The 27,047-nt window shown below is 38.4% G+C and overlaps 2 long non-coding RNA genes across 9 annotated transcripts in view; both read left to right on the top strand.

Moving 5' to 3' along the window:
- The first annotated feature begins 34 nt into the window (after positions 1-34).
- LOC105371005 (uncharacterized) lies at positions 35-16,325 on the top strand. Its single transcript, XR_932684.2, has 4 exons — positions 35-121; positions 1,617-1,738; positions 2,885-3,016; positions 13,011-16,325. It is a non-coding gene; the product is annotated as an uncharacterized LOC105371005 (long non-coding RNA).
- A 163-nt stretch (positions 16,326-16,488) lies between these two features.
- LOC105371004 (uncharacterized) overlaps positions 16,489-27,047 on the top strand; it is a 31,628-nt gene continuing 21,069 nt past the window's right edge. For 3 of the 8 annotated variants that reach the window (XR_932680.2, XR_932678.2, XR_932677.2), the window contains exons 1-3: positions 16,489-16,745; positions 21,546-21,644; positions 22,369-22,583. This is a non-coding gene — a long non-coding RNA (uncharacterized LOC105371004). Of the gene's footprint in view, positions 16,746-18,455; positions 18,607-19,077; positions 19,161-21,545; positions 21,645-22,368; positions 22,584-27,047 lie in introns of those variants that run through there. The other 5 variants (XR_932683.2, XR_001751692.2, XR_001751689.2 and 2 more) reach the window with 4 other exon arrangements.

Below are 27,047 nucleotides of genomic sequence, written 5' to 3'. Positions count from 1 at the left end.
TCTGTGTGCCAGCTGGCAGTTACTTTTTTCTGGTCAAGTTCTGCTGTGGAGACTGAATGGTCCAGGATGCCTTCACTTACTGATAGTGGCGAGGCTGTTGGTCTCAAGTGGCCTCAGCTGGGTAAGTTTGTCTTTGCTCCACTATGCGTTATCTAATTAGCTCAAATTGTACTGGCTCTGCCCTTTTATGTACAGCAAAGACCTCCAGCATCCCCCTAGACTCTTAAACACACATCCAGTTATTTATTTTTTGAGTCTTGGTTGGAGTCTCACATAAGCTCATCACTTGTCATCTGAACTTCTTCCTCTTCAGTACTCTTGTGGAAATGTGTTTCCCACAAAACCACTGCAGGTTGGTGTCTACACCCTACCACAGCTGGTGATGTTCCCACTCTGTGAGAATACTGCTGTTTGTGTCAAGGGAATACTCTTCCTAGGTTCCTAATGCTGAAAATCCTCAAGGTATCAATACATCACCTCATTCCCTAGAGTTCTTGATATACCTACCAAAGCCAGGTCTTTTGTGTTTATTTTATTTTAAGTTCTGGGGTACATGTGCAGGATGTGCAGGTTTGTTACATAGGTAAATATGTGCCATGGTGGTTTGCTGCACCTATCAACCCATCACCTAAGTATTAAGCCCAGCATGCATTAGCTATTTTTCCTGATGCTCTCCCCTCCACCACTTTTAATTTTTTTAACTTTTATACTACAGTTAAAAGTGGCTTACACACTACCATACAGTATTAGAGTATTTTGTAGTTGATATTTTTACACTTCAGTGACTTTTATACTTTCATTTGTTTTTCTTTTTTCTTTTTTTTTTTTTTTTGAGACAGAGTCTCACTGTGTTGCCCAGGCTGGAGTGCAGTGGCATGATCTCGGCTCACTGCAAGCTCTGCCTCCCGAGTTCACACCATTCTCCTGCCTCAGCCTCCTGAGTAGGTGGGACTACAGGCGCCCACCACCATGCCAGGCTAATTTTTTTGTATTTTTAGTAGAGACAGGGTTTCACCGTGTTAGCCAGGATGGTCTCGATCTCCTGACCTCGTGATCCGCCCGCCTCAGCCTCCCAAATTGCTGGGATGACAGGTGTGAGCCACCGTGCCCGGCGTTTGCTATTGTTTTTATTTCAACTTGAAGAACTCCCTTTAGCATTTCTTGTAGGGCAAGTCTAGTAATAATGAACTCACATAGCTCTTATTTGTCTGGGAAAGGTTCTGGGTGAGCAGCTTTGCTGCTGGAGTCCTCAAAAGGTCCAGCCTGATGCCTGGGTCAGTGGGTGGCACAGCTAGAGCCTGGACTTCAGTGGCAGGCCTGGATCCTGGGTCTGTTGAGGCCATCCTAGACCTTGGTCTTCAGGGACTAGCCTGGCACTAGATGGGCCTGGACCCTGGGTCTGCTATTATAGATCTGGTACCAGGTTTCACTGGGATGACCTGGAGCTGGGGTTTGTAGCAAAGTCAGGTGCTCACTTCGTTCTCCTTCCCCCACATGGAGGATATCTCTCTCCATGCTGTACTGTGTAGGCTTGGGGCTGGGGTGATGAAGGCAATACAAAACTATCCTTCCTACCCTCTTTAATGCATCTTTTCTTATTTCTGTGCTATCCCCAGGTGCTATAATCTCTTACCTGGATTCTTTAGCCCTTGTGAAAATATTGTCATGTGTGGATAGTTGTTCAAATTGATGTTTTGGAAGGCGACAAGTATCACTCTCCCTGTATTGCTTCATAGAGGTAAGTGCACATTTTATTTTGCCCCAAGATGTGGGAATATCTGACTCTATCTTGTAGTGGAGAAAGGGGAGGCAAGAGTCAGAGGAAATTTGCATGAGTAATATTCAAGCCAGGCATTGAAAGATACATGGGAATTTAACAATAAGTAATGTGTGACAGAGGTAATTGTTTAGGGTTATGGGAGGCAGAAGTTATGGAAATGGACAAATCACAGAGGACTGTGTATGCCACAAAAAGCGGTTTGGACATTTAGTCATAAAGCATGAAAGAGCCATTGAAAGATGTCAAGACCCATGCTCAGATTTGGAAAATGAGCTAGAATGAAAATTCAATGTGCAGAGTGAAGAATGAATCAGTGGCAGAAAGGGGGAGAAAGCAAAAGGATAGAAAAGAGGTACTGAAGAATATTCTATCAAATAAATAAAGTTTCCTCACATGGCTCACTTCTTTGGAACTTATGGTGGGTCCATAATTATATGATCATTGCTTCTCATATAATAATTACTTCCAGAATTTTTCTGACCAGTGACATCATACTAACTTCTAAAATTTGCAGATCCTCCCTCTTTATATTTTTATTTTCACACATTGGGATCTCTGTTTATATCTAGTCTTTTAGCTCATTCCCCTCTAGGGCCAGCATCTATCTAGCTTTCTTATTTCCATCAACCAGTTATTTTAGCAGCCTTTTTGTTATTTATCTCACAAGATATTTGAAATATAAATTTTAGAAAATTTGTTTTGTTTTACCAATGTTTGTTCCACCTGTTATGATTAAACATTTTTTTCCTCCCCATAAAAACAAACCAAAGAAAGAAGATAGTAAACAGGATATTAAAGTGGGCCTTAATTTAAGTAAAGCTGAAGTAATACAGCTGTGATACTAAGTATGTTTGAATAATATGTTTGAATAATTGTGTGATGTTTTTTGACAAAAATAGTTGATTGGGGAAAAAAATCTCATGACAACTTCTTTGCAATCTTGATGTACTTTCATGGATCATTCAAATGACATTTCCCAAACTGTATCTACTGAACATAGTAACTATTTGAACAAGTTTGCATACGAACAATTGTCAAAATAAATCTACCTAAACCGAAATGATTTTACTGTCTTCATATTCTCAAATTCTCTTTTTGACTCAGGTTTAGGTATCAAGGAGGTCTGTATGGCATGTCTAATACCTTGGAAGAAAATTGCCCTGTGTACTAAAAGAAAACAAAGATTCAATTCCTGCTGTATCATAAAAGTCTAAAGATGCATCTTCTACAACCCTAGTATGTTTGCCTTTCTTCTCCTTAGTTGGAGTGGTCAAGTAGCTTTCTCAGTATAGGCTAGAAATAACTCCTGTTGGAATATCTTCAGAGAGGGGTTAACATATTGATAAATGCACTTGAGTATAGCTGAAGGTATCTGTGATTGAGGTAGTCTCAAAGGGAAATAAGGGGCCTGGAGACAGGTTCAAGCACATCAATATGTCAATCACAGCCAGGGATGCAAAGGATGGTAAATGGGGGTTACTCGCATAACAGTGGGATGTCTCAAGTTACCTAAGTGCCGTAACTGGATACAGTAATCACACACTTGTCTCAATGTGACACAATCTTAACAGGAGCGTCCACTGTCCACTTAGAAAGGAGACAGTTTGGCAAACCTGATCAGATTATTGCTGTCATTATATCCAGCAAATTAACAGGTTACCACATTGTTCACCTTGCGTGACACCACTGTGGGGTTTGACAGCCTGGGCTCCAAGTGAGAAAATACACCAGGCTGATTTGCAAAGCGCCTACCTGAGATGACTCATCCAGTCTAAGAGGTTTCCACATTGTGCATTGTAAGCAATGAGAAGTTTCCCTAGAACAGTTTAGCAGTGAAGCCCTCTGTTGCCACTTCTTCCAGAGGTCTATGGAATAGTTAAATGCTAGAGGTTGGGCTTTTGAAAATGGCAGCCTGATCATTCAAACTCATTACAGGTACGCTTTGAGTGTAGAGGCTGTCTCCCCAAAAGCCCCGGCCTTACAGATAAATCATAGATACATTTAACAGGAAAAAAGTTTTGAGTGCCATGTGTTAGCATCGTTACAGCTTTAGCAAAGGGGAAAGAAAGTTCAGTCACTGAAGGTTGGGAGGGCAAGAACCCTCCTCAGTACACAGTGATTTCCTCCATGTCAGAGCACAGTTAGCAAAGCTGAACATTATTTTGGTTCCTCATCAACTTTTTACAGTGCTTCTGCTATATATTTAAGGATTTGGGGCATGGGCCTATGTATACACACGCGCCTCTGTGTGTGCAAGGAGCACTCGTGCCATGCTATCTGAAGCCTCCAGTTATTTATAGCATCTGTTTCCTGTCCATCCTTATCTCATAACCTATTATGTCTCAGCTTAAATGCCATGTCATTCACAGTGCACAAAGAAGGAGTATATGACCCTAACTCCCCAGCCCCTGCTAAGTCCGGCATATTCCACTTTTTCTCCCACATTGTCCACAAGTGCTGAAAAGTGCTGCCTCCTCTTTAATTCCTTGTCAAAACTCCTGAATTTTTTAAAATCCCTAACATGAACTTTCTTCACCATTTCTGAGTACTACCTGTCAAAGCTGCTGAGTATGACGTTTCTAATTCAGAAGTAAAAAAAAAAAAAAAAATGTTATGCAGAAATTCCAAGGAATCACTGAAAATATTCACCACTTTGGCCTGGGAAACTTTAAATGAAAAATGTATTATTATTAAACGATTTTGGAGTTTCTCCATGGCCTGAACATTTGTTTGACTGCCTACATTAAATATTTCCATTTCTTGGACATTTGGAAATGGGGCAATGTGTTTAAGGGATCACAGGCCTTTGGAGGCCTGTCCTCATGTGTATGGAACCTGTGTAGGCTATTTAATTGCTGTGTGACCATATGTCATCACATTAGCTGAATTGACGCCTGTATTGATACCTGTACCAATCAGTCTTCTAGAGGAAACATGGTACATTTAGATGAGGTAATTAGAAAACAGTTTAATGAAAGCACTATTTATGAAGATTTTTTATGGATTATTTTATAACTCACCACTTTACTAAATTCTCATTTTTTCATATGGTAGGTTTTCCTTTAATTTTTTTAAATTAAAAAATGACTATATGCTAGTTTTAATAGCATAAGTAAAATTATGTATTAACCAAAATAAAGCTAATATGTAAATGTTAAATAGACTTTAAGGCAAAAGTCATCACTATTTATACATAGCATCATTAAATAGTGAAAAAAGAACCAATTTTCTAGAATGTCATAAATAACTTGAGTCTTTGTACATCCATAAAATTGGCATCAAAAATTATCAAAAATATTGACAAAATTTCAAGTAAAAAGGGACAAATACACAACCATGTTGCAATATTTTTAATACCTTCTTTTCAGAGCTAAAAATTGGGTAGACAATTGAGAAATAAAATAAGCAAGAGTGGATTTGAAGCCGGACTTAACAAATACACAAAAAGAAAAATCTGTTAATAGAAGACTATATTCTCACACTACAATTATGGGGTCAGTCAAGAAATAATGATTAACATTGAAATCTATACAGGATCAAATGCACAATGAAAATTCCACTTATTAAAGTTTGTGTCATGGTGCTAAAACCGGTATTTAGAGGAGAATATATAGTCTGAAATGTATATGTTAGAAACTAAGAAAGAATGTGAATTAAGCTAAATGCTTAATTCTTAGGAACAACATAAAAATTAATAGTAAATAAAGAAACACTAAAAGGAAGGAAATAGAAGACAAAATTAATAACATTTTAATAATAATATGCCTAATTTGCTTTTACCAATTGTTATTACTGATATTAATATATCTTGATTTTTAAGTTTTATCTAATATTTTCTCTATATTTTAATGAATTATTTTCTTATTTTCCTTTTCTCCCTTCCTGACTTCCATCAGATTAATTATTATTTATTACCATTTTTGTCTTTTATTGTTTTGGAAATTTTTCTCTACTTTTGGCTTGGACACTAAGAATCAATTCATCTATGATTCGATTATTTGAAAAGAATAAACTCAGCTGGAGTTTTTAATAAATAAGAAAGTATACAAAAATAAAGGCTATTAAAGTGAAGAAGGGGACACAGCCAAAGCTGCAGGAAAATGACCAGCAAAGCTGTGCCAGGAGCTGACTTAGTCTTTGAAAATGACCTTTGTACATTTGAAAATATGTCACTTCCATAGTTTGAAAACTGGAGGGGCTTTGTAAATTACAAGAGACTTTCTGTCTTTCTGTGTTGCTGCTTACCATTGCTACTGCTGTAGCTACCACACTTCTGCTGCTATTAGACATTTATGAAGAACTCAACTGTATCGGGCCTAAGCTTTTTATAGTGCATGTGTGCTTTTTAAATAAAAGAAAATTGCCTTAGTTTTACAAATGCTGGCAAAAGATGTAAGACTTTATGACTTACAACCAAGCAGTCACTATGAAATTCTTGTTTATGTCAGTTTCAGTAGTCTCCCAAAATTCCCAGGTGATAATGGGAACACAGGGCCAGAAGGATGCTATACACACAGTATTGTGCATCACGGCTGAGGAATTCTGAGTGAGCTTAGAAAATCCTCATAATTTATAAGAGGGTGCTAAGTAAACCTGCCCAAAGTTTGATCCAGAAGGAGCCTTTTTTTTTTTTTTTTTTTTTTTGAGACGGAGTCTTGCTCTGTCGCCCAGGCTAGAATGCAGGGGCACAATGTCAGCTCACTGCAACCTCCGCCTCTGGGGTTCAAGCGATTCTCCTGCCTCAGCCTTCCGAGTATCTGGGATTACAGGTGGCTGCCGCTGCACCTGGCTAATTTTTGTATTTTTAGTAGAGACAGGGTTTCACCATCTTGGCCAGGCTGGTCTCAAACTCCTGACCTCATGATCCAACTGCCTTGTTCTCCCAATGTTCTGGGATTACAGGCATGAGCCACGGAGCCCGGCCAGGAGACCTCTTTAAACAAAATAATAATAATATTTTGAGTTCCAGGATACATGTGCAGAACATGCAGGTTTGTTAAATAGGTATGCATGTGCCATGGTGGTTTGCTGCAGCTATTGACCTGTACTCTAAGTTCCCTCCCCTCACCTCCAACCTCCCAACAGGTCCTGGTGTGTGTTGTTCCCCTCTCTGTGTCCATGTGTTCTCATTGTTCAACTCCCACCTATGAGTGAGAACATGTGGAGTTTGGTTTTCTGTTGGTTTGCTGAGGATGATGGCTTCCAGCTTCATCCATGCCCCTGCAAAGGACATGATCTCATCTTTTTTATGGCAGCATAGTATTCCATAGTGTATATTTGCCACATTTTCTTTATCCAATCTACCATTGATTGGCATTTGGGTTGGTTCTATGTCTTTGCTATTGTATGTAGTGCTGCAATAAACATATGTGTGCATGTGTCTTTATAGTAGAATAATTTATGTTTGTTTGGGTACATACCCAGTAATGGGATTGCTGGTTTAAATGGTATTTCTGGTTCTAGATCCTTGAGGAATCTCCATACTGTCTTCCACAATGGTTGAACTAATTTACAATCCCACCAACAGTGAAGTGGTCCCATTTCTCCAAAGCCTCGCCAGCAAGTATAGTTTCTTGACTTTTTCATAATTGCCATTCTGACTGGCATGAGATGGTATCTCCTTGTGGTTTTGATTTGCATTTCTCTAATGATCAGTGATGTTGAGCTTTTTTTCATGTCTGTTGGCTGCATAAATGTCTTCTTTTGAGAAGTGTCTTTTCATATCCTTTGCCTTCTTTTTGGTGTGGTTGTTTATTTTTTTCTTGTAAATTTGTTTAAGTTCCTTGTAAATTCTGGATATTAGACCTTTGTCAGATGGGTAGATTGCAAAAATTTTCTCCTATTCTGTAGGTTACCTGTTCACTTTCATGATAGTTTCTTTTGCTGTGCAGAGTCTCTTTAGTTTAATTAGATCCCATTTGTCTATTTTGGCTTTTCTTGCAATTGCTTTTGATGTTTTCATCATGCAGTCTTTGCCCATGTCTATGTCCTGAATGTTATAATTTTGGATTTTACATTTCAGTCTTTAATCCATCTTGAGTTAATTATTGTATAAGGTATAAGGAAGGGGTCCAGTTTCAGTTTTCTGCATATGGATAGCCAGTTTTCCCAGCACCATTTATTGAATAAAAGATCCTTTCCCCATTGCTTGTTTTTGTCAGGTTTGTTGAAGATCAGATGGTTGTGGATGTGTGGTGATATTTCTGAGGCCTCTGTTCTGTTCCATTGGTTTATATGTCTGTTTTAGTATCAGTACCATGTTGTTTTGGTTACTGTAGCCTTGAAGTATAGTTTGAAGTCAGGTAGTATGATGTCTCCAGCTATGTTCTTTTTGCTTAGGATTGTCTTGGCTATACAGGGTCTTCTTTGATTCCATATGAAATTTAAAGTAGTTTTTTCTAATTTTGTGAAGAATGTCAGTGGTAGTTTGATGAGAATAGCATTGAATCTATAAATTACTTTGGGCAGTATGACCATTTTCACAATATTGATTCTTCCTATCCATGAGGATGAAGTGTTTTCCCGTTTGTTTGTGTCCTCTCTCATTTCCTTGAGCAGTGGTTTGTAGTTCTCCTTGAAAAGGTCCTTCACATCTCTTGTTTGCTGTATTCCTAGATATTTGATTCTCTTCGTAGCAATTGTGAATGGGAGTTCATTCATGATTTGGCTCTCCGCTTGTCTATTGTTGGTGTAAAAGAATGATTGTGATTTTTACACATTATGTATGCTGAGACTTTGCTGAAGTCGCTTATCAGCTTAAGGAATTTTGGGGCTGAGAGGATAGGGTTTTCTAAGTATACAATAATGTCGTTTTCAAAAGAGATAATTTGACTTCCTCTCTTCTTATTTGAATACGATTTATTTCTTTCCCTTGCCTGATTGACCTGGCCAGAACTTCCAATACTATGTTGAATAGGAGTAGTAAGAGAGGGCACCCTTGTTTTGTACTGGTTTTCAAAAGGAATGTTCCTAGCTTTTGCCCATTCAATACGATATTGGCTGTGGGTTTGTCATAAATAGCTCTTATTATTTTGCGATATGTTCCATCAATGACTAGTTAATTGAGAGTTTTTAACTTTAACATGAAGGGATGTTGAATTATATCAAAGGCCTTTTCTGCATCTATTGAGATAATCATGTAGTTTTTGTCTTTGGTTCTGTTAATGTGATGGGTTATGTTTACTGATTTGCATATGTTGAACCAGCATTGCATCCCAGGGATGAAGCCAGCTTGATCGTGGTGGATAAGTTTTTTGATGTGCTGCTGGATTCGTTTTGCCAGTATTTTGTAGAGGATTTTCACATTGATGTTCATTAGGGATATTGGCCTGAAGTTTTCTCTTTTTGCTGTGTCTCTGCCAGGTTTTGGTATCAGGATGATGCTGCCTTCAGAAAATGATTTAGGGAGGACTCCATCCTTTTTACTTGTTTGAAATAGTTTCAGAAGGATTGGTACCAGCTCCTCTTTGTACCTCCAGTAGAATTCAGCTGTGAATCTATCATCCTGGGCTTTTCTTGGTTGGTAGGCTGTTAATTACTACCTCAATTTCAGAGCTTGTTATTGGTCTATTCAGGGATTTGACTTCCTCCTGCTTTAGTCTTGGGAGAGTGTATATGTTCCAGAATTTATCCATTTCTTCTAGAATTTCTAGTTTATTTGCATAGAGGCGTTCCTAGTTTTCTCTGATGGTAGTTTGTATTTCTGCAGGGTCAATGGTTATATCCCCTTTATCATATTGGTCTATTTAATTCTTCTCTCTTTTCATCTTTATTAGTCTAGCTAGTAGTCTATCTATTTTGTTAATTTTTTCAAAAAAAAACAGCTCCTGGATTCACTGATTTTTTGAAGGGTTTTTTGTGTCTCTATCTCCTTCAATTCTGCTCTGTTCTTAGTTATTTCTTGTCTTCTGCTAGCTCTTGGATTAGTTTGCTCTTGCTTCTCTAGCTCTTTTAATTGTGATGTTAGGATGTCTATTTGAGATTTTTCTAGCTGTCTGATGTGAGCATTTAGGGTTATAAATTTTCCTCTTACCACTGCTTTACCTGTGTCCCAGAGATTCTGGTACATGTTCTCTTGATTTCTCCCTTAGTTTCATTATTTACCCAGGAGTCATTCGGGAATATGCTGTTCAATTTCCATATAATCATGTGGTTTTGAGTGAGTTTCTTAATCATGAGTTCTAATTTGATTACACTGAGGTCTAAGAGACTGATTATTATGAATTCAGTTCTTTTGCATTTGCTGAGGAGTGTTTTACTTCCAATTATGTGGTTGCTCTTAGAATAAGTGCCATGTAGCACTGAGAAGAATGTATATTCTGTTGATTTGGAGTGGAGAGTTCTGTAGATGTCTATTAGGTCCACTTGATCCAGAGCAGAGTTCAAGTCCTGAATATCCTTGTTAATTTCCTGTCTTATTGATCTAATATTTAAAGTGGGGTGTTAAAACCTCCCACTATTATTGTGTGGAAGTCTGTCTCTGTAGGTTTCTAAGAACTTGTTTTATGAATCTGGGTGCTCCTGTATTAGGTGCATATATATTTAGGATACTTAGCTGCTGTTGTTGAATTGATCCCTTTACCATTATGTAATGACCTACTTTGTCTTTTTTCATCTTTGTTGGTTTAAAGCCTGTTTTGTTAGAGACTAGGATTGCAACCCCTGCTGTTTTTTGCTTTCTATTTGCTTGGTACATTTTCCTTCATCCCTTTATTTTAAGCCTATGTGTGTCTTTGCATGTGAGATGGGTCTCCTGAATACAGCACACTGATGGGTCTTGACTCTTTATCCAATTTGCCAGTCTGTGTCTTTTAATTGGGGCATTTAGCCCATTTACATTTAAGGTTGGTATTTTTATGTGTGAGTTTGATCTTGTCATCATGATGCCATCTGGTAATTTTGCACACTAGTTGATACAGTTCCTTCATAATGTCGTTAGTCTTTATACTTTGGTGTGTTTTTGCAGTGGCTGGTACTGTTTTTCCTTTCCAAATTCAGTGATTCCTTCAGGAGCTGTTGCAAGGCAGGCCTGGTGGTGACAAAATCCCTCAGCATTTCCTTGTTGGGAAAGGATTTTATTCCTACTTTGCTTATGAAGCTTAGTTTGGCTGGATATGAAATTCTGGGTTGAAAATTCTTTTATTTAAGAATGTTGAATATTGGCCCCACTCTCTTCTGGTTTGTGGGGTGTTTGCTGAGAGATTCACTGTTAGTCTAATGGGTTTCCCTTTGTAGGTGAACTGGCCTTTCTCTCTATTTGCCTGCTACATTTTTTTCCTTCATTTAGGCCTTGGAGAATCTGATCATTATTGTGCTGGGGTTGATCTTCTCATGGAGTATCTTAGTGGTGTTCTCTGTATTTCCTCAATTTGCATGCTGGTCTGTCTTGCTAAATTGGGGAATTTCTCCTGGATAATATACTGAAGTGTGTTTTCCAGCTTGTTTCCATTCTCCCATCTCCTTCAGGGACTCCAGTCAATTGTAGGTTTGGTCTTTTTATGTAGTCCCATATTTTCAGAGGCTTCGTTCATTCCTTTTCATTCTTTTTTCTCTAATCTTGTCTGCATGCCTTATTGAAGCAATATTATCTTCAAACTCTGATATCCTTCCTTCTTCTTGGTCAATTAGATATTGATACTTGTGTATGCTTCAAGAAGTTTATGTGCTGTGTTTTCCAGCTCCATCAGGTCATTTATGTTGAAGGAGACATTTTTATTATACTGGATAGCAAACAGTTCTTCCCTTTGCTCTCTGGAAGGAGAAACTGTTTCTATCTTCCAAGGCTATTCTCTATACAAATATCTTTGAAAAGATAGTTTGGAACAGAAACTGTCAGTGACTCTACTTGTAAGATATTAAGAAACATGAGAAATACAACAGAAAGTTGTCCTCCGAAATGTATTTCTGCCACTAAAGCTGATATTGATGCCACCGTATTGAAGTTAAAATATAATTTCTTTTTAAACTTTCTCTACATTCCTTGTGAAGTACTGAATATAAGGAATAGCATTTAAAAAACTCATGATTACTCTTCAAATCGTATCTCTTATTTTGAAAAAAAAGAAAAAGAAAAACAATCTAACAAAAGCTTACTGATCCAAAGAGTTAATGACATGGAATACTGAAAATACAAATTTTCAGTATGTATTTTATCTGAAATCCCCATAATAGTTGAAGAATATACCTTTATTCACAGGCATGTTAAATACGTCAGCTTTACCTACATGGCTAACATTTCTGGAGTAGGAAGACAGTCTGGGTATAGTCTCATTTTCACCTTTGCAAATCACCTTATAGCTCAGGAGCTGTGTAATAAAAGACATCAGTATAAACATATGAAGAATGCAAAATATTTGCATTCTTGATCTAAATCAGCTAATTATTGATCAATTAGATCAATAACATCTATTATTGATCAATTAGATCATAATCATCTATTATTCATCTAAGTGTACTCATATTTAATGGCAGAATTTCTGAAATGTTCCATATCTTTTACAAATGCTAATGTTGAAGTTAGTTCTTTCTAGCCTTTATAGCTATTCTCTTGAACAAACATTTTCTGCTATAAACTATTCATTTCACAACTCTGTATTTTCTACACATTTCCTGACACGTAAAAGTCAAAGTTGGAAATTAAGCATGGGGAAAGATAATAATTGCTGTGACCTTTGCTTCAAGGGAGTATTAGACTCACCCATGTTTCTGAAAGTTTTATACAAAAGAATAAATTTGAGGAGTTAATCGTTTCTTGTCTATGAAATTGCTAACCTGATTACATTATGAACTGAATGACCTTATGCTTTTTTAAATTTTCTTTTTACTAAAATTAGCAGCCATTTCCTATATCTTAAATATATTGTCCATAGAAATTTTGCTCATATGCCTCACAGTCCCCTGAAGTGTTATCAATTCAAAAGCACTTATCTTTTCAAAAATTTTCTTTGTGATTATTTCGATTTCTGATTATAAAGTTGAGCTTTAGTAAACCAAGATCTAATAATTTGCAGTTTTATTCCAGGTACATTTCATGCTAAAACTATTAACAACCATGGTCATGATTGATATGGTTGATGAGACTACCAGGTTAACCGACATTTAAGCTGGTTAATTCTACTTCAAATCTGAATGCCAATATGCAGTAACTGTTTTATTCATGATATAGATTATCTTCTGTACTTACCAGTGATATATTTTTCCCAATACTAACTATAGAGTTTGTAATTTATAGGGAACATTCCAGCAAACCTGTCCAAAATGTGCACCAGAAGGAGACATTGTCTTAATTACACTTGATAATTTTAATATCAAAATTCAACCAAATAAAATACAGCAGTATGACAGGTAAGATGCAGTGATATGGCAAAGCCTTGTAAACTAGGCAAGATAGAACCAACAAGTGGGGAATGAGACACAAAATCTTGTGGAGCACCCGATTCTGTTGCTGTTCATGGCGCCACTATGTAACACACACAGACCTAGGGGGACTGAACAATGGTGGGCGAATGCGGGAATAAAAGACAAGAGACAAAAAGAGTATATATGGAATAAGGGGTCAGCGGACATCTTGCCTCTAGTGGACAAGGGCCCTGAGCTTTACACAGCCCTCCATATTCATTAGGCAAAAGAGATAGCAAGAAGGAGGGTAGAAGAAGAGGTCAGCTGCTCCATCCACAGTAGGGTTGCAAGACTGCATTCTCTAGATGTCCCAGTAGATAACATTAAGGAGCTTGGCGCCAGGAACTGGTTGCCCTTAGCAAATCTCCTGGCAGTGGGAGCAGTCGTGAGGTTGCCCACATCCTGCATTCATGATAAACAGTTTGTTGTTTGATCATAGAGCCTCCAGTGGAATGCTGAGAGGGTCATGTCCCAGGGGCCTTCAGCTCCCCACAAAATTTTAAATGAGATCTTGAAGTCCAAACCCCTGAAATCCTTTCTGGGACCAAAAAATAAAGACTTAACATATAATAAAGCAAAAATCCAGGAACAGGGAAAGTATTGAATCAGTAGAGAAGTTGGGGGTGGCAATCAGAGGGTCTTGGGCAGTTACTACAGGTGATGTTGCCATGTGCTTAGTCCACCTAATTGGTTACCAGGTATATTGGTCAGGATCCTCTAGAGAAACTGAGTCAATCGGAGATAGATGATAGATAGATACATAGATAGATAGTCAGATAGATAGATTAGATAGGTACATTAGATAGATAGACATAAATAAGAGGGAATTTATTAGGGAATTGATTTACACAATTAGGGAGGCTGAGAAGTCCCTTGATAGACCATCTGCCAGCTCAGAAACCAAGGAAGCCAATAGCATGGCTCCATCTAAATCCAAAGGTCTAAGAACCAAGGGAGCCACTGGTGTAACTCTCAGTAGGAAGCCAGAGCCCAAGGAGGGGCCACTAGTGCAAGTTCCAGTGGACCAAGGCCAGAGAACCTAGAGTTCTGATGTCCAAGAGCAGGAAAGGAGTGTCACAGATCCAGGAGAGAGAGAGAATTCAGCTTTTCTTGACCTTGTTGTTCTATCCAGGCCTTCAGCCAACTAGATGGTGCCCAGTCCCACTGGGTAAGGGTAGATCATCCTTACTCAGTCCACTGATTCAAATGCCCATCTCTTCCAGAAACACCCTCACAGACATGCCCAGATATAATGCATTACTAGATATCTGGGTATCCTCTAATCCATTCAAGCTGACACTTAAAATTAACCCTTACAGCAGGTGTGTCAGATAGGCATAAAAGTATAGGTTGAGACAAATAGTCTTTACCTGTCAGCTACCCTTTTAAAGGCCTCATCTGTACTTTTGGGTTGTAATGGTGAAAAGCTATCATTGAAAGACTTGAAATATAATCAAAATTGTAAAATGTTAACACAAAAGTATATTAGTGTGCTAAGGCTGCCATAACAGAATACCACAGACTGGGTGACTTAAACAACACAAATTTATTTTCTCATAGTTCTGGAGGCTGCAAGTCTGAGATCAAGGTGCTGGCAGGGTTGGTTTCTGGTGAGGCCTCTCTCCTTGGCTTGCAGATGGCTACCTTCTCCCTGTGTTCTCACTTAGTCTTTTCTCTGTACTTTCACCTTCTTGTTCTCTCTCTCTTCTTACAAGGACACAAATCATATTGGATTGGGGCCCCACTCTTACAATCTCATTTAACCTTAATTACCTCCTCAAAAGTCCTATCTGCAAGTATAGTCACATGGTGGGATGGCAGGTAGGGCTTCCACATATGAAGATGAGGGGTGTTCAATTCAATCCAAAACACAGAACTAACTTCTGGATTCACAGAGGAATTTCCAGTAAATATAACTGGGGTCTAAGATGAAGGATGATTTCCACCCATCTTCCCTCTACATATAACCCTTTCCACACTCCCGTTATCTGAAGGGAAAGACATTGGCCCACTATTTCACATCATTTTCTACATAGGTGGATTTCAGTTGTTTATTTGAAGAATATTACTGTAGACCAGAATTTTTGTTGCTTCAAACCACCTTTGAAGCAACATAGGTACTTACAATCACCCGCCTTTTCAGCGATAGTTACAACGTCCTCACTAGGACAGGGGTCGGTGCCTCCCACGGTCTATGGGCGCATCCAAAGCCACCATGCCCTTCACAACCAGGTGCCAGCTCAGTGCTCTGTTGCTGCTTGACTAGGAATACTTATTGCCCTAGTCATTATATTTTATGTCCTCAAAAAATGAAGTTTTTTTTCCTGACCCCCTATATACACAACTTTTCTTAGGTGACACGTCAGCCTCCCACTAACAGTAAGTATCCCCCTTACACAGCATTAAAAAACTCAGCTAAATGTTGGGAACACCTCACAGTGGTGCAAGGTTGTCTCAGAGCTGGCCCTCTCCTGAGAGCTTGAGCACATTAAAGTTCCTTAGTAATCCACCCTAGCCACCATTTCTGGCGTGACAACATGGCCAGAGGCAAAATATTTATGATTTAAAAGAAAATTTTCTCAGGTAAGAAGTGGGAAGAGACGAGTCTGGAAAAACCACTTGAGGGGTAATCTCTGAAGTGTATAGTAGTTCATCTGTTATTGCTGGTAAAAAGCAGGCGGGTAGGAAGAAATAAACTACTGGTTGCTTTAAGTTATCACAAAATAAATCTCAAATTTCAGAGCTGGACGACCATGCAGTTCACTCCACTAACCAGTATATCCACATAAAATAAATGACTGCTAAACAACAAATCACAGGACAGGGGATGTGTACATTAGGCAAGTTGGAACTTCTGAATGAAGGAGAAAATTCTCAGAGGACTTAGGGGGTCAGTGAAGGACTGAGAAGCAATTCAGTCATTCTGTCAATAGGCACACCGTAACTCTTTGTAGCCTTTGCATATTCAACAGAATGAACCTGCCCAGGGTCTACAAAAATATTTGAGAGCAATACTAACAACCAAGGGAAGAAGGTACTAGTGAATATGTGGAGAAAGATCTTAATCTGGAGAAGGACAACCTAGATTACATACAAACACACATATATATGTGTGAATATTCAGTCTATGTTTACAATAAAATGTAAGAAAAATAAAAAGATGAACTCTTTGAGATTAGAGGTAATAATATCAAGAAATATCTGTTCTCATTTGAGTGCATGTGTCTCTGCAAAATTCATATGTTGGAACTTAAAGCCCAGGGTGATGGTATTAAGAGGTGGTAGAAAGGCATTTGGGAATGGATTACATCATAAAGGCTCTACCCTGATTAATGGGATTATGGAACAGGCTTCAAAGAGCTACCTGGAACTTCCATCACTTCTACCATGTGAAGATAAACATGAATCTCTTTTTTCCCTTATATTTCTTCTGCCATGTGAGAACACAGTATTTGTCTTTTCCACCTTTCCATGATGTGAGGACACCCCAAGAATGTCCCCTAAAGACAGGAAACAAGACATGGAATCTTCTGGCACCATGATCTTGGACTTCATAGCCTCCAAAATGGTGAGAAATAAATTTCTATTGTTTATAAATTACTCAGTCTTTGCTATTTTGTCATAGCATCACATATGGGCTAAGACAACGTCTAATTTAGATGAAAAGAGCTGGTTGAAGCAGGATGAGTAAGATAGGAGGTATGATATGAAACAGAAAATTCTGAAAAGCAGAGCCAACATAGTAGAACACCATGATGTAACTGAATATTTTGAAAACTATTACATGTAAAAAAAAATGCAAACACTTTATCCATGAAAATCCTTTCTATGCAATTAACAGAAAAAAGTACTTGACTGGTTTAACAATAAGAATAATCTGAAGTAGAGTACTTCCAAGATTACTAAATACAGTTGTTCAACAACATTCTCAAAGACCCAGATCCTTTACATATATCATTAGAAGTGTCATCATTATAATGACCTATTATGTAGACCTATTATATAATGGCCTATATTTGACTTGAAATATTTACTTGTGCATTTTAATATGAAACTTGAATTTAGGGTTATAAGAATAGAGATAATATTAAACATGTTAGTCATGGGGTGCAACATTAAAGATCTCTACTGGAAATTTTCTTAAATAATAAAATTATTATTTTTTATTTAAATAATAAAATTATTATTTTTTATTTAAATAATAAAATTATTATTTTTTATTTAAATAATAAAATTAGTATTTTATTTTGTTTTAATAAAATATGGAGAATAATGAGATCATATTACAAAATATATTCTTTGTAAAAGTTACCAATGGCATGGCATTAGACACAGATGCAACTAAGAAACTCATTAAAGCAAATTAATAATAAGAATAATCATTTTGCTTATATTATTTAATGTTCTGTTAATCAGTAGTTATATGCATATGAATTTGTTATGTTCACTTTTTAAGAAAAAAATTTATTTTTGAAAATCTTTTGAATAGGACTATTTTATAAATTCATCTGTATATTAAAACCAATTTATGTATTTCTATAAATAAATATTTCAAAAATTACTTCTCATTATTTTAAGGCCCACTTTCACTCTCAAAAGTGTTTCAGTTTGAACAATAATTTGCATATTAGACCCATGATTAAAATTTTTAAATTAGAGTGAGAGAATATATAGTCTATGGTCTCCATAAAGTCTATACTCTATGAAGAATGAGTATAGATAAGAAAAAGTGGAGGTTCAGTTAGTCTAAAAAGAATCCAAGTCATAAGAAGTCAGGGAGTTAAGAGACAATCAGTGAAGGAGACAGAAGAATTTCCTACTGAAGACTAAAAACCAAACAAGCAAACAAATAGGTGAGTGTGATGATTTGGATGCCAAGTGAAGCAACTATTTTAAGGAAAAGCAGTTGTCTGCCGTGTCCAATGTTGCTTTTAGGTTAATTAGGATAAGGTCTGAGAATTTTATATTGGACTTGGCAACATAGAGGGTCATTGGTGACCTCAAAAAGAGCAGTTCTGTTAGGTGCAGGCTAAGGGGAGGGCAAAGCCATTGGAGTGAATTTCTTAGGAGAGAACAGGATAACTTGGGGAACAGTGACTGTAGACAACTCTTCCAACACAATCTTCTGTAATGGAGAGCAGAACCATGGTTCCTAGCTATAGGGGAAAATTGATTCCAGAGAGACAGATTATGAGCCTTTATTATCAATATAATAATTACTATTTTTTTTCAAAAATGAAAGACATAACAGCATGTTTGAATCTTAATGAGAATGAACCAGCAGAATTGAAAAAAAAATTGATAGTACAGAAAAGGAGAAACCTGGAGCTGTGGGCTTGATTGGTGAGAGGTAATAGAACTTAGTGCACAAGTATAGGCACCAGACCATCCCCGGGTTCAAGAGATAAAGCAGACTTATGTGGGCACAGGTATAGTAAAGTTAATAGAGATTGTATCTGGAGGCTCTGGGTTGCTTCTAATTTTTCAGAAGAAGGACAAAGCCACATATTAAATGTGAATGAGGGAGGAAATAGAGGTTCCAGGAAAGAGAAGCATGAAAGAGTAGCCTAGGATCTTGCTGTTTAATGTATGGTCCATGGAGCAGCAACAGTAGCAGCACTTTGGGGCTCCTTCATAATGCAGAATTTCAGTCCCCTCTCCTAGATATACTGAACCAGGAACTGCATTTCAAGAAGATCCCCAGGTGACCCAATGTGTGCTAAAATTCAAGAAGCACTGGTCTCAGACTGAGAGAATAAATGAAGAGAGGAAATACAGTAGAATAGTTAGCATAAAGTTATATCACACTGACAGCTTGGTTGAAATATGTTTTCCAACTAATAAAATGAGTTGGTTAACTTAAAAGGAATAGTGGCTTAACTAAGGTAGGGGTTTTGCAGGTTAGCAAGCTGAAGCAAGGGAAGAGAAGAACAGTTTAATAATCAAAGAGCGTGATTATAATGATGCCCCCATGGAGCTGAAGGTAAGTGGTCTGGGAAGTGAGAGCATGAGGAGATGAAGGAGAGTGAAAAGGAAGTAGGTCAGTGGATTTAATTTTCCAGCAGGGATTGAGGATTGTTGGATTTGGGGCACTAGGGGCAAGCTGGAGAACAAGAAGTGCTGGTCAGAGAGGGGCCTGTTTGAAGTTGAGGTAATGGGTGACGTATTGTATTGATAATGGCTTGACCTAACTTCTGGACATGGAGTGGCTGAAGTGGATTGGAGAATAAGACTTTCTGGGGGAGAGGAGGTCAAGGGCATTAATAGCTAAGATAAGAATCACCTATGTGGATAATGAAATTATCAAGAACTATGACAATGATGCTGGAGAGAAAGACCATGAGCCAGGAGCTAAAATCTCAATGGAAAACCATGGGACTCAGGTCCCACAGATAACTGCAAAAAGAAAGGTACTGGATGATATAGTATGATGACATGAGACTCATATGAGGTGTGTTAACAGAAGTGGGAGGGAAGGAGTGAGGCAGAGAGAGAAACACATCTATTCTACCCCCAAACCAAACAGGTGTGTGTGAAAGAGAAGATACCTGTTCCTTAAAAGCGTGAAGATGGAGTCAGAAAAGAAAATTACCACAAGCCAGAATAGTAAATTATCCCTGAGTGAGTCAAGGAAGATAATGGTGTGAAGGTGTAGGATGCTTTTAGGGAATTGCAAAAAAAAAAAAAAAAAAAAAAAAACCAAAAAAAAAAACAGATAGGTGTGTTCAGGAGACACCCCTGTCCATGGTGCTATGGAGGCTGAGGGGAGAAATCTTATGCACACACAAAACTCTAGGAATCTGTCTTAGTTAGCTCAGGCTGCTATAACAAATTGCCACAGAATGAGTGGCTTGAACAATAAACATTTATTTCTCACAGTTCTGGAGGCTAGGAGGTTCAAGATCAAAGTGCCCACAGGCTTGGATCTGGCGAGAGACTCCTTCCTGGTTGGCAGATGGCTGTCTTCTCATTGTATCCTCACATAGGGGAAAGCAGAGAGACAGAGCAAGTTCTTTCATGTCTCTTCTTATAAGGACATTAATCCCATTCATGGAAGCCCCACCCTCATCATTTTTTTTATTTTTATTTTTTATTTCAATAGGTTTGGGGGAACAGGTGGTGTTTGGTTACATGACTAAGTTCTTCAGTGGTGATTTCTGAGATTTGGGTGCACCCATCACCAGAGCAGTGTACACTGTACCCACTGTGTAGTCTTTTATCCCTCACCACCCCCTACCCTTTTCCTTGAGCTCCCAAAGTCCAATGTCTCGTTCTTATGCCTTTGTGTCCTCATAGCTTAGCTCCCACATATGAGTGAGAACATATAATGCTTGGTTTTCCATTCCTGAGTTACTTCACTTAATAGTCTCCAGTTCCATCCAGGTTGCTGTGAATACCATGATTTTATTCCTTTTTTGGAGTTGAGTAGTATTCCATGGTGTGTGTGTGTGTATATATATATATACATATATGTCACATTTTCATGTGACATATGTCATGGTGTGTGTGTGTATATATACATATATATGTCATGGTGTGTGTATATATATATGTCACATTTTCTTTATCCTCTCGTTGATTGATGGGCATTTGGGCTGGTTCTATATTTTTGCAATTGCAAATTGTGCTACTAAAAGCGTGCGTATGCAAGTATCTTTTTTGTAAAATGACTTATTTTCCTCTGGGTAGATACCTAATAGTGGGATTGCTGGACCAAATGGTATATCTACTTTTATTTCTTTATGGAATCTCCACACTGTTTTCCATAGTGGTTGTACTAGTTTACATTCCCACCAACAGTGTAAAAGTGTTCCCTTTTCACCGCATCCATGCCAACATCTATTTTTTTTTATTTTTTGATTATGGCCATTCTTCCAGGAGTGAGGCGGTATCGCACTATGGTTTTGATTTGTATTTCCCTGATAATTAGTGATACTGAGCATTTTTTCATATGCTTGTTGTCCATTTTGTATATCTTCTTTTGTGAATTGTCAATTCATGTCCTTAGCCCACTTTTTGATGGGATTGTTTTTTTCTTGCTGATTTATTTGAGTTGATTTCCTTGTAGATTCTGGGTATTAGTCCTTTGTTGGATGTATAGATTGTGAAGACTTTTTCCCACCCTGTGGGTTGTCTCTTTACTCTGTTGATTATTTCTTTTGCTGTGCAGGCTCTTTTTAGCTTAATTAAGTCCCATCCATTTATCTTTGCTATTGTTGCATTTGCTTTCGGGTTTTTTGGACTAATAAACTCTTAAAGACCCCACCTCCTAATATCATGACACGGGGTTAATGTCTTAACATGTGATTTTGGAGGGGATGCAAACATTTAGTCCATAATAGAATCTTTTTTTCCCTTTTAACTGAAGAATAGAGAACCTACAGACCCGCATGTATTGAAGTTTGAAACCACCTGTGTAAACAGCACACAGATGAAGGACCACTTTACCCTGTTTCTCACACCATAGGTGAGTTTTCTGGATTCCTCTGTACCTCTGTCAATGAAGGCAAGAGGCGAGGTAAATGATGGTCTCGCCATGAGTGGGCAGGTCTACGCAGCTCTCTTTTGACATACTGATTATTAGCACAAAGGCCATGGCAGCTTCAGAATTAGCTATAGAGCTTGGATCCATCTGGAAATTGATCACTACTTCCCTGCATTTTTACAGTGTTTTGTGTCCACTTCAACAACAGTATGTTTACAACAATACTGTATTTATCTGTTGATCACCTTTCTGCCTCCAAACACACACATACACACATATGCACACCATACACACACACACCATACACACTCCTGAATTGATACAGCAAGTATTATTACTTTTTAAAATAAATTCCTGTGGCTTTGAATAGTGCCTCTTACATTGTATATGTTTTTTGAAAATGTAATTTATTAAAAATGGAAATCAATATCACTGTCATTGATTCTAAAACCAGGTGAAAATCAAACGGTTTCCCAGCAAAACCCTTGTTTATGCCAATTCTCCCTTACTCCTTCATAGTGAACATTTTATAAAGCTATCCTTCGATCATCTCAGAGAAGCAATAACAGTGAGCTTGTTCTAAATATGTCTCATAGCAAACTGAATTCGGTAAACTGATTTTGTGAAGCATATAATTGTAGGAATGATATTGTACAATGAATTAGAACTACCTTTATTTGATCTTTCACCTGAAATCCTTCAACAGGTGTCATAGACATACTAATGAAGGGGCTGCCTCACACAGAGAGCTATCTTACAAGGTTCTGAGAATAAAATGAGAGCTAGAAGAGACATGATTTCTACTTCAATATTTTATTTGGCAACATCCTACTGAAAAGACAAGCAAAACCACTATGATTCATAATACTTGCAGATGAAGGCAATATGACACAAGAAGGTTAAACGGCCTCTCATGACAATGTGAGTTAGATTCAAAAGCCTTTAATTCTAGTCCATGCTTTATACTGGTTATAGCTTTTCAATGCCTGAAACTTTACTATCAGTGATTTGTTCCCTTCAGTAAGTTTCTGTAGTCTGTGAAAATGAAACCATCTTACTCTCAGGCTAGCAAATACCCCTTAGTTTAAAGGAGCTAGTTTTCATAAAGGAATGAGGGGGACTCATGTGCTGGGAACAGCAAAGGAAGAACCCAGGAGACTAGAAGCATAGGTGTAAAGGGTCCATTGCTCTTAAGTCAAAGAAGAGTCAGGCGTTCACAGACCTCAACTTAAAGCTGTTTATTTAATTCTGAAGCAAATGCAATCCAGTTTATAATATTAAAAAATAATACGTAGGTAGCCACTGTTGAGATGAACAATAATTGAACATATATTTAGTTCATTCATTTGATAATTACTTCAGGCCTATCATAAGGCAGGCACTTATCTATATATTGGAGACAGAGCAATAAAGAAAGAGGCCTTGAGAGTCCCAGCTTTCAAGGAGATGGCACTCTAATAAAAAATCACTGTGTTCTAGAAAATACCTAATTTTAGCTACCACCTACAAATGAACAGTTTTGCCTTGTTAGTCATAAACTGTGTGCCAAATATACCTATTGTGATGGTTCATTTTGTATTGGTCAGGGCTCTCTAAAGGAACAGAAATAATAGGATATAGGTATATATGAATGGCAATTTATTAGGAGTATCGACTCATATGATAACAAGGTAAAGTCCCACAATAGGCCGTCTGCGGGTTCAGGAGCAAGGAAGCCAATCTGAGTCCCAAAACCTCAAAAGTAGGGAAGCTGACAGTGCAGCCTTCAGTCTATGGCCAAGGGCCTGAGAGCCCCTGGCAAAACATTGGTGTAAGTCCAAGAGTCTAAAAGCTGAAGAACTTGGAGTCTGATGTTTGAGGGCAGGAAGCATCCAGCATCAGAGAAAGATGAAGGCCAGCAGACTCAGCAAGTCTGCTCTTTCCAGTTTCTTCTGCCTGCTTTATTCTAGCTGTTTTGGCAGCTGATTAGATGGTGCCCATCCAGATTGAGGGTGTGTCTGCCTCTTCCAGCCCACTGACTCAAATGTTAATCTCCTTTAGCAACACCCTCACAGACACACCCAGGAGCAATATTTTGCATCCTTCAATCCAATCAAATTGACACTCAATATTAACCATCACAATTGTATACACCAACTTTCCTTGGTTAAGGGATGCCCCAGATAGCTAGTACAACACTATTTCTAGACGTGTCTGTGAGAATGTTTCCAGAAAAGATTAGAATTTGAGTCCCTCATCTATGTGGGTGGGCATCATTCAATTTGTTGAGGGCCCAAATATAATAAGAAAGTGGAGGAAGGGTGAATTCTCTCTCTTTGCTGGAGCCAGGACATCCACCTGCTTCCGCCCTTGGACATCAGAGCCCCTGGTTCACTGGCTTTTGAACTCTGAACCTCTTAACACTGGTCCTCCCCTCCATATATTTCCTATATTTCCACCTGCCTCAATATGTCCAAAAGCAAGCTCGTGGCCTCCTTTCAGACAGCCTGTATTCCCAATTATGGCATCATCTTCCATGCTGTCACTCATATTGGAAACCTAAGAAATATTCTTGATTACTTCCACTGTCCCAACACTCTCAGTGATCAGTCTTAGCAACTTCCCCCCCGCCCCTGCATCTTCATCAGCCATCATTGTCTCCAGCCTGGACCACTGCCATACCCTTCAAAGAGGGGTCTCGGCTTCCTGCCACTCTGCCTCTTCAATCCAGAATGTCCACTCTTCTCAGAATAATTATTCAGAACCCCAAAGTCCAGTTATGGAATGCTTCTGAATAGGAACTTTGTATTAGTCCATTCTCACACTGCTATGAAGAACTGCCCAAGACTTGATAATTTATAAAGGAAAGAGGTTTAATTGACTCACGGTTCTGCATGGCTAATAAGAACTCAGAAAACTTACAATCATGGCAGAAGGCCCCACTTCACAGGGCGGCAGGAGAGAGAATGAGAGCTGAGCAAAAGAGGAAGCCCCTTATAAAATCATCAAATCTTGTGAGAACTTAGTATGACAAGAATAGCATGAGGGAAAATGCCCCCATGACTCAGTTACCTCCCACAGGGTCCCTCCCACCACATGTGGGGATTATGGGAACTAGAATTCAAGATGAGGTTTGGGTGGGGACACAGCCAAACCTTACCAAGCTTTTAAGAAGTTATCTACAAAATACTATGCATGATGACAATAAAGATAACTGAACCATAAAGAATATTCCACATACTTCCTTGTATCTCCAAATAACCTTGTGCGCCAGGCAAATGTGATTACACACATTTTATAGAGGAGGACAATGGATTAACAGATTGAGGCTCTTCCCTGAGCTTTATCTCAGCACATCTGAATTGTCTTCTTAAAATAGTCAGTTTGCACCATTGTGTCTCTCCTTTCTCATTTGTAAAACAAGGACATCAGACAAAAATCTAATGACATTAAACCCAGCCCCCTGCCCTTTTTTTAGATAGGAATCATGAATTTCTTTAAAAATTAAGTGAAATCTATGGACTCTCTCCACAGAAAATTTATCACACGCATATAGAAGTAGACCTTCTAGGGGTCCATGGAAGCCATGTTAAGAATACTTGTGCAAGTTCTAAGATAATTCTAGTGTTCATGTAGAATCTGTTAAGTTCCTTAGCCAGTGTCAATAACAAAACTCGAACTTCTGAAAAGTGTCTTAAACTATGTCATAGAATTGCTCACACCACTCATTTCCTCCTTCTCTAATTGCATAGAATTTCTGGCTCATTGGTGGTTTTGTCATATTACATAAGGACTAATATTGCAGAAGAACTAAGAACTATGGTTTACTCTTTAAAGTGTCATTAGCAATTATCTGTTCCAGATTGCAAATATCATCCAAATAGGCCAAAGCAAAGATTTCCACTCCCTGAAAGACACCTGGGCTGGAAATGGACACCTGATTGTGGAGCATGTGCTAGCGTCTTGTCAATAAGAATGAATAGAGTGCTGTAATCCCAGCACTTTGGGAGGCCGAGGCAGGTGGATCATGAGGGCAGGAGGTCAAGACCATCCTGACCAACATGGTGAAACCCCGTCTCTACTAAAATACAAAAAAATCAGCCAGGCATGGTAGTGCGCACCTGTAGTCCCAGCTACTTGGGAGGCTGAGGCAGAGGAATGGCTTGAACCTGGGAGGTGGAGATTGCAGTGAGCCGAGATCATGCCATTGCACTCCAGCCTCGGCAACAGAGTAAGACTCCATCTAAAAAAAAAAAAAAATGAATAGAGCTCCTCTCCAGTAAGAGCTGGGAATCTTCATGGGACCTGAAACATGAGCAGGCAATTACAATTTTAAAAGGCATGTGTTCCTAGCTCCAGACTACCCTGGTTTCATTCTGCATTCTGTAACCAATCACAACACTCATGGACTCTGAAAAAGTGAGGTTCCCCAATGATTACACTCCCTGGGAGTAAGTTTGTCATCTGTGGAAGTAGCATTTTCTCATCTAGTACTGAAAGATGCCCTGAAGCATGGACCTATCTCCAAACATAAGCTTACACTGAGAAAGAATTCAGTTCAGAATCTTAGATATGAATACAGTAAAAAATATACAAAGGCTGAGGAATGTTTTTTGACATAGCCAAGAACAGCAGGAAATGTCTACATAGAATATTAAATTGATGTTAATGAGCAGACTCGTTATGTATCCAGCTGTCCCTTTTCTAAATGACATAAGCATATAATCCCATTGTGTATAAGTTGTAAACTTAAGTCTTTAGTTACACATTTGCAGGAATTTTGGAGGAATGCTCTATCTGCTATGTAGACATTTGCCCATTTTACAGATATTATTAAGCTTCAGCTATGTACAAATGACTTAGCATGTGTCAACGAATAAAACCGGTAGAAACACCTGCCTTCTTGGAGCTTACAGCCTGCCCGATGGGGAGAGTTATCTGGGAAGATAGGAAAAGTTGAACATTATAGACGTGTAAATCATATAGTGTATTAGAAGGGGAGGAAAACAATGGACAAAATAAAGCAGGGTATGAAAACCAGGAGTTCCAAACTAGCTATGTGCTCAATTGTAGAGATGCCTGAATAAATATCTTTCTGAATGGCTCACCATGTGCCTGTCCCCTCTGAATACCACTACTGTGGGGTAAGACACTGTCTCTAGAAAGCACCTATATTAGGGCTAGGTTAGTGGAGGGACCAGGCTTGGAGGCAGACTACCTTGTCTTTGGAGACTTAGTCCCCTCACTGCTGCCAATGCATCACTTCTTTCCCAATAGGTGCCCAGTATCTTTATGTTTATTTCTAGCCTCTTTTCTGAAACTGCTCTGTGAGTGTTCTTTCAGGGCGAGGAAGGATTTATGCTTAATCAATTACACTTCCATATCTGCAGAAGATGGAAATGTCCA

This window comes from Homo sapiens, chromosome 15 (genome assembly GCF_000001405.40).
Source record: "Homo sapiens chromosome 15, GRCh38.p14 Primary Assembly".
NCBI classification, from domain to species: Eukaryota; Metazoa; Chordata; class Mammalia; order Primates; family Hominidae; genus Homo; species Homo sapiens.
Note: the sequence above shows the minus strand (reverse complement) of the source record. Positions and strands in the feature narration are given on the sequence as shown.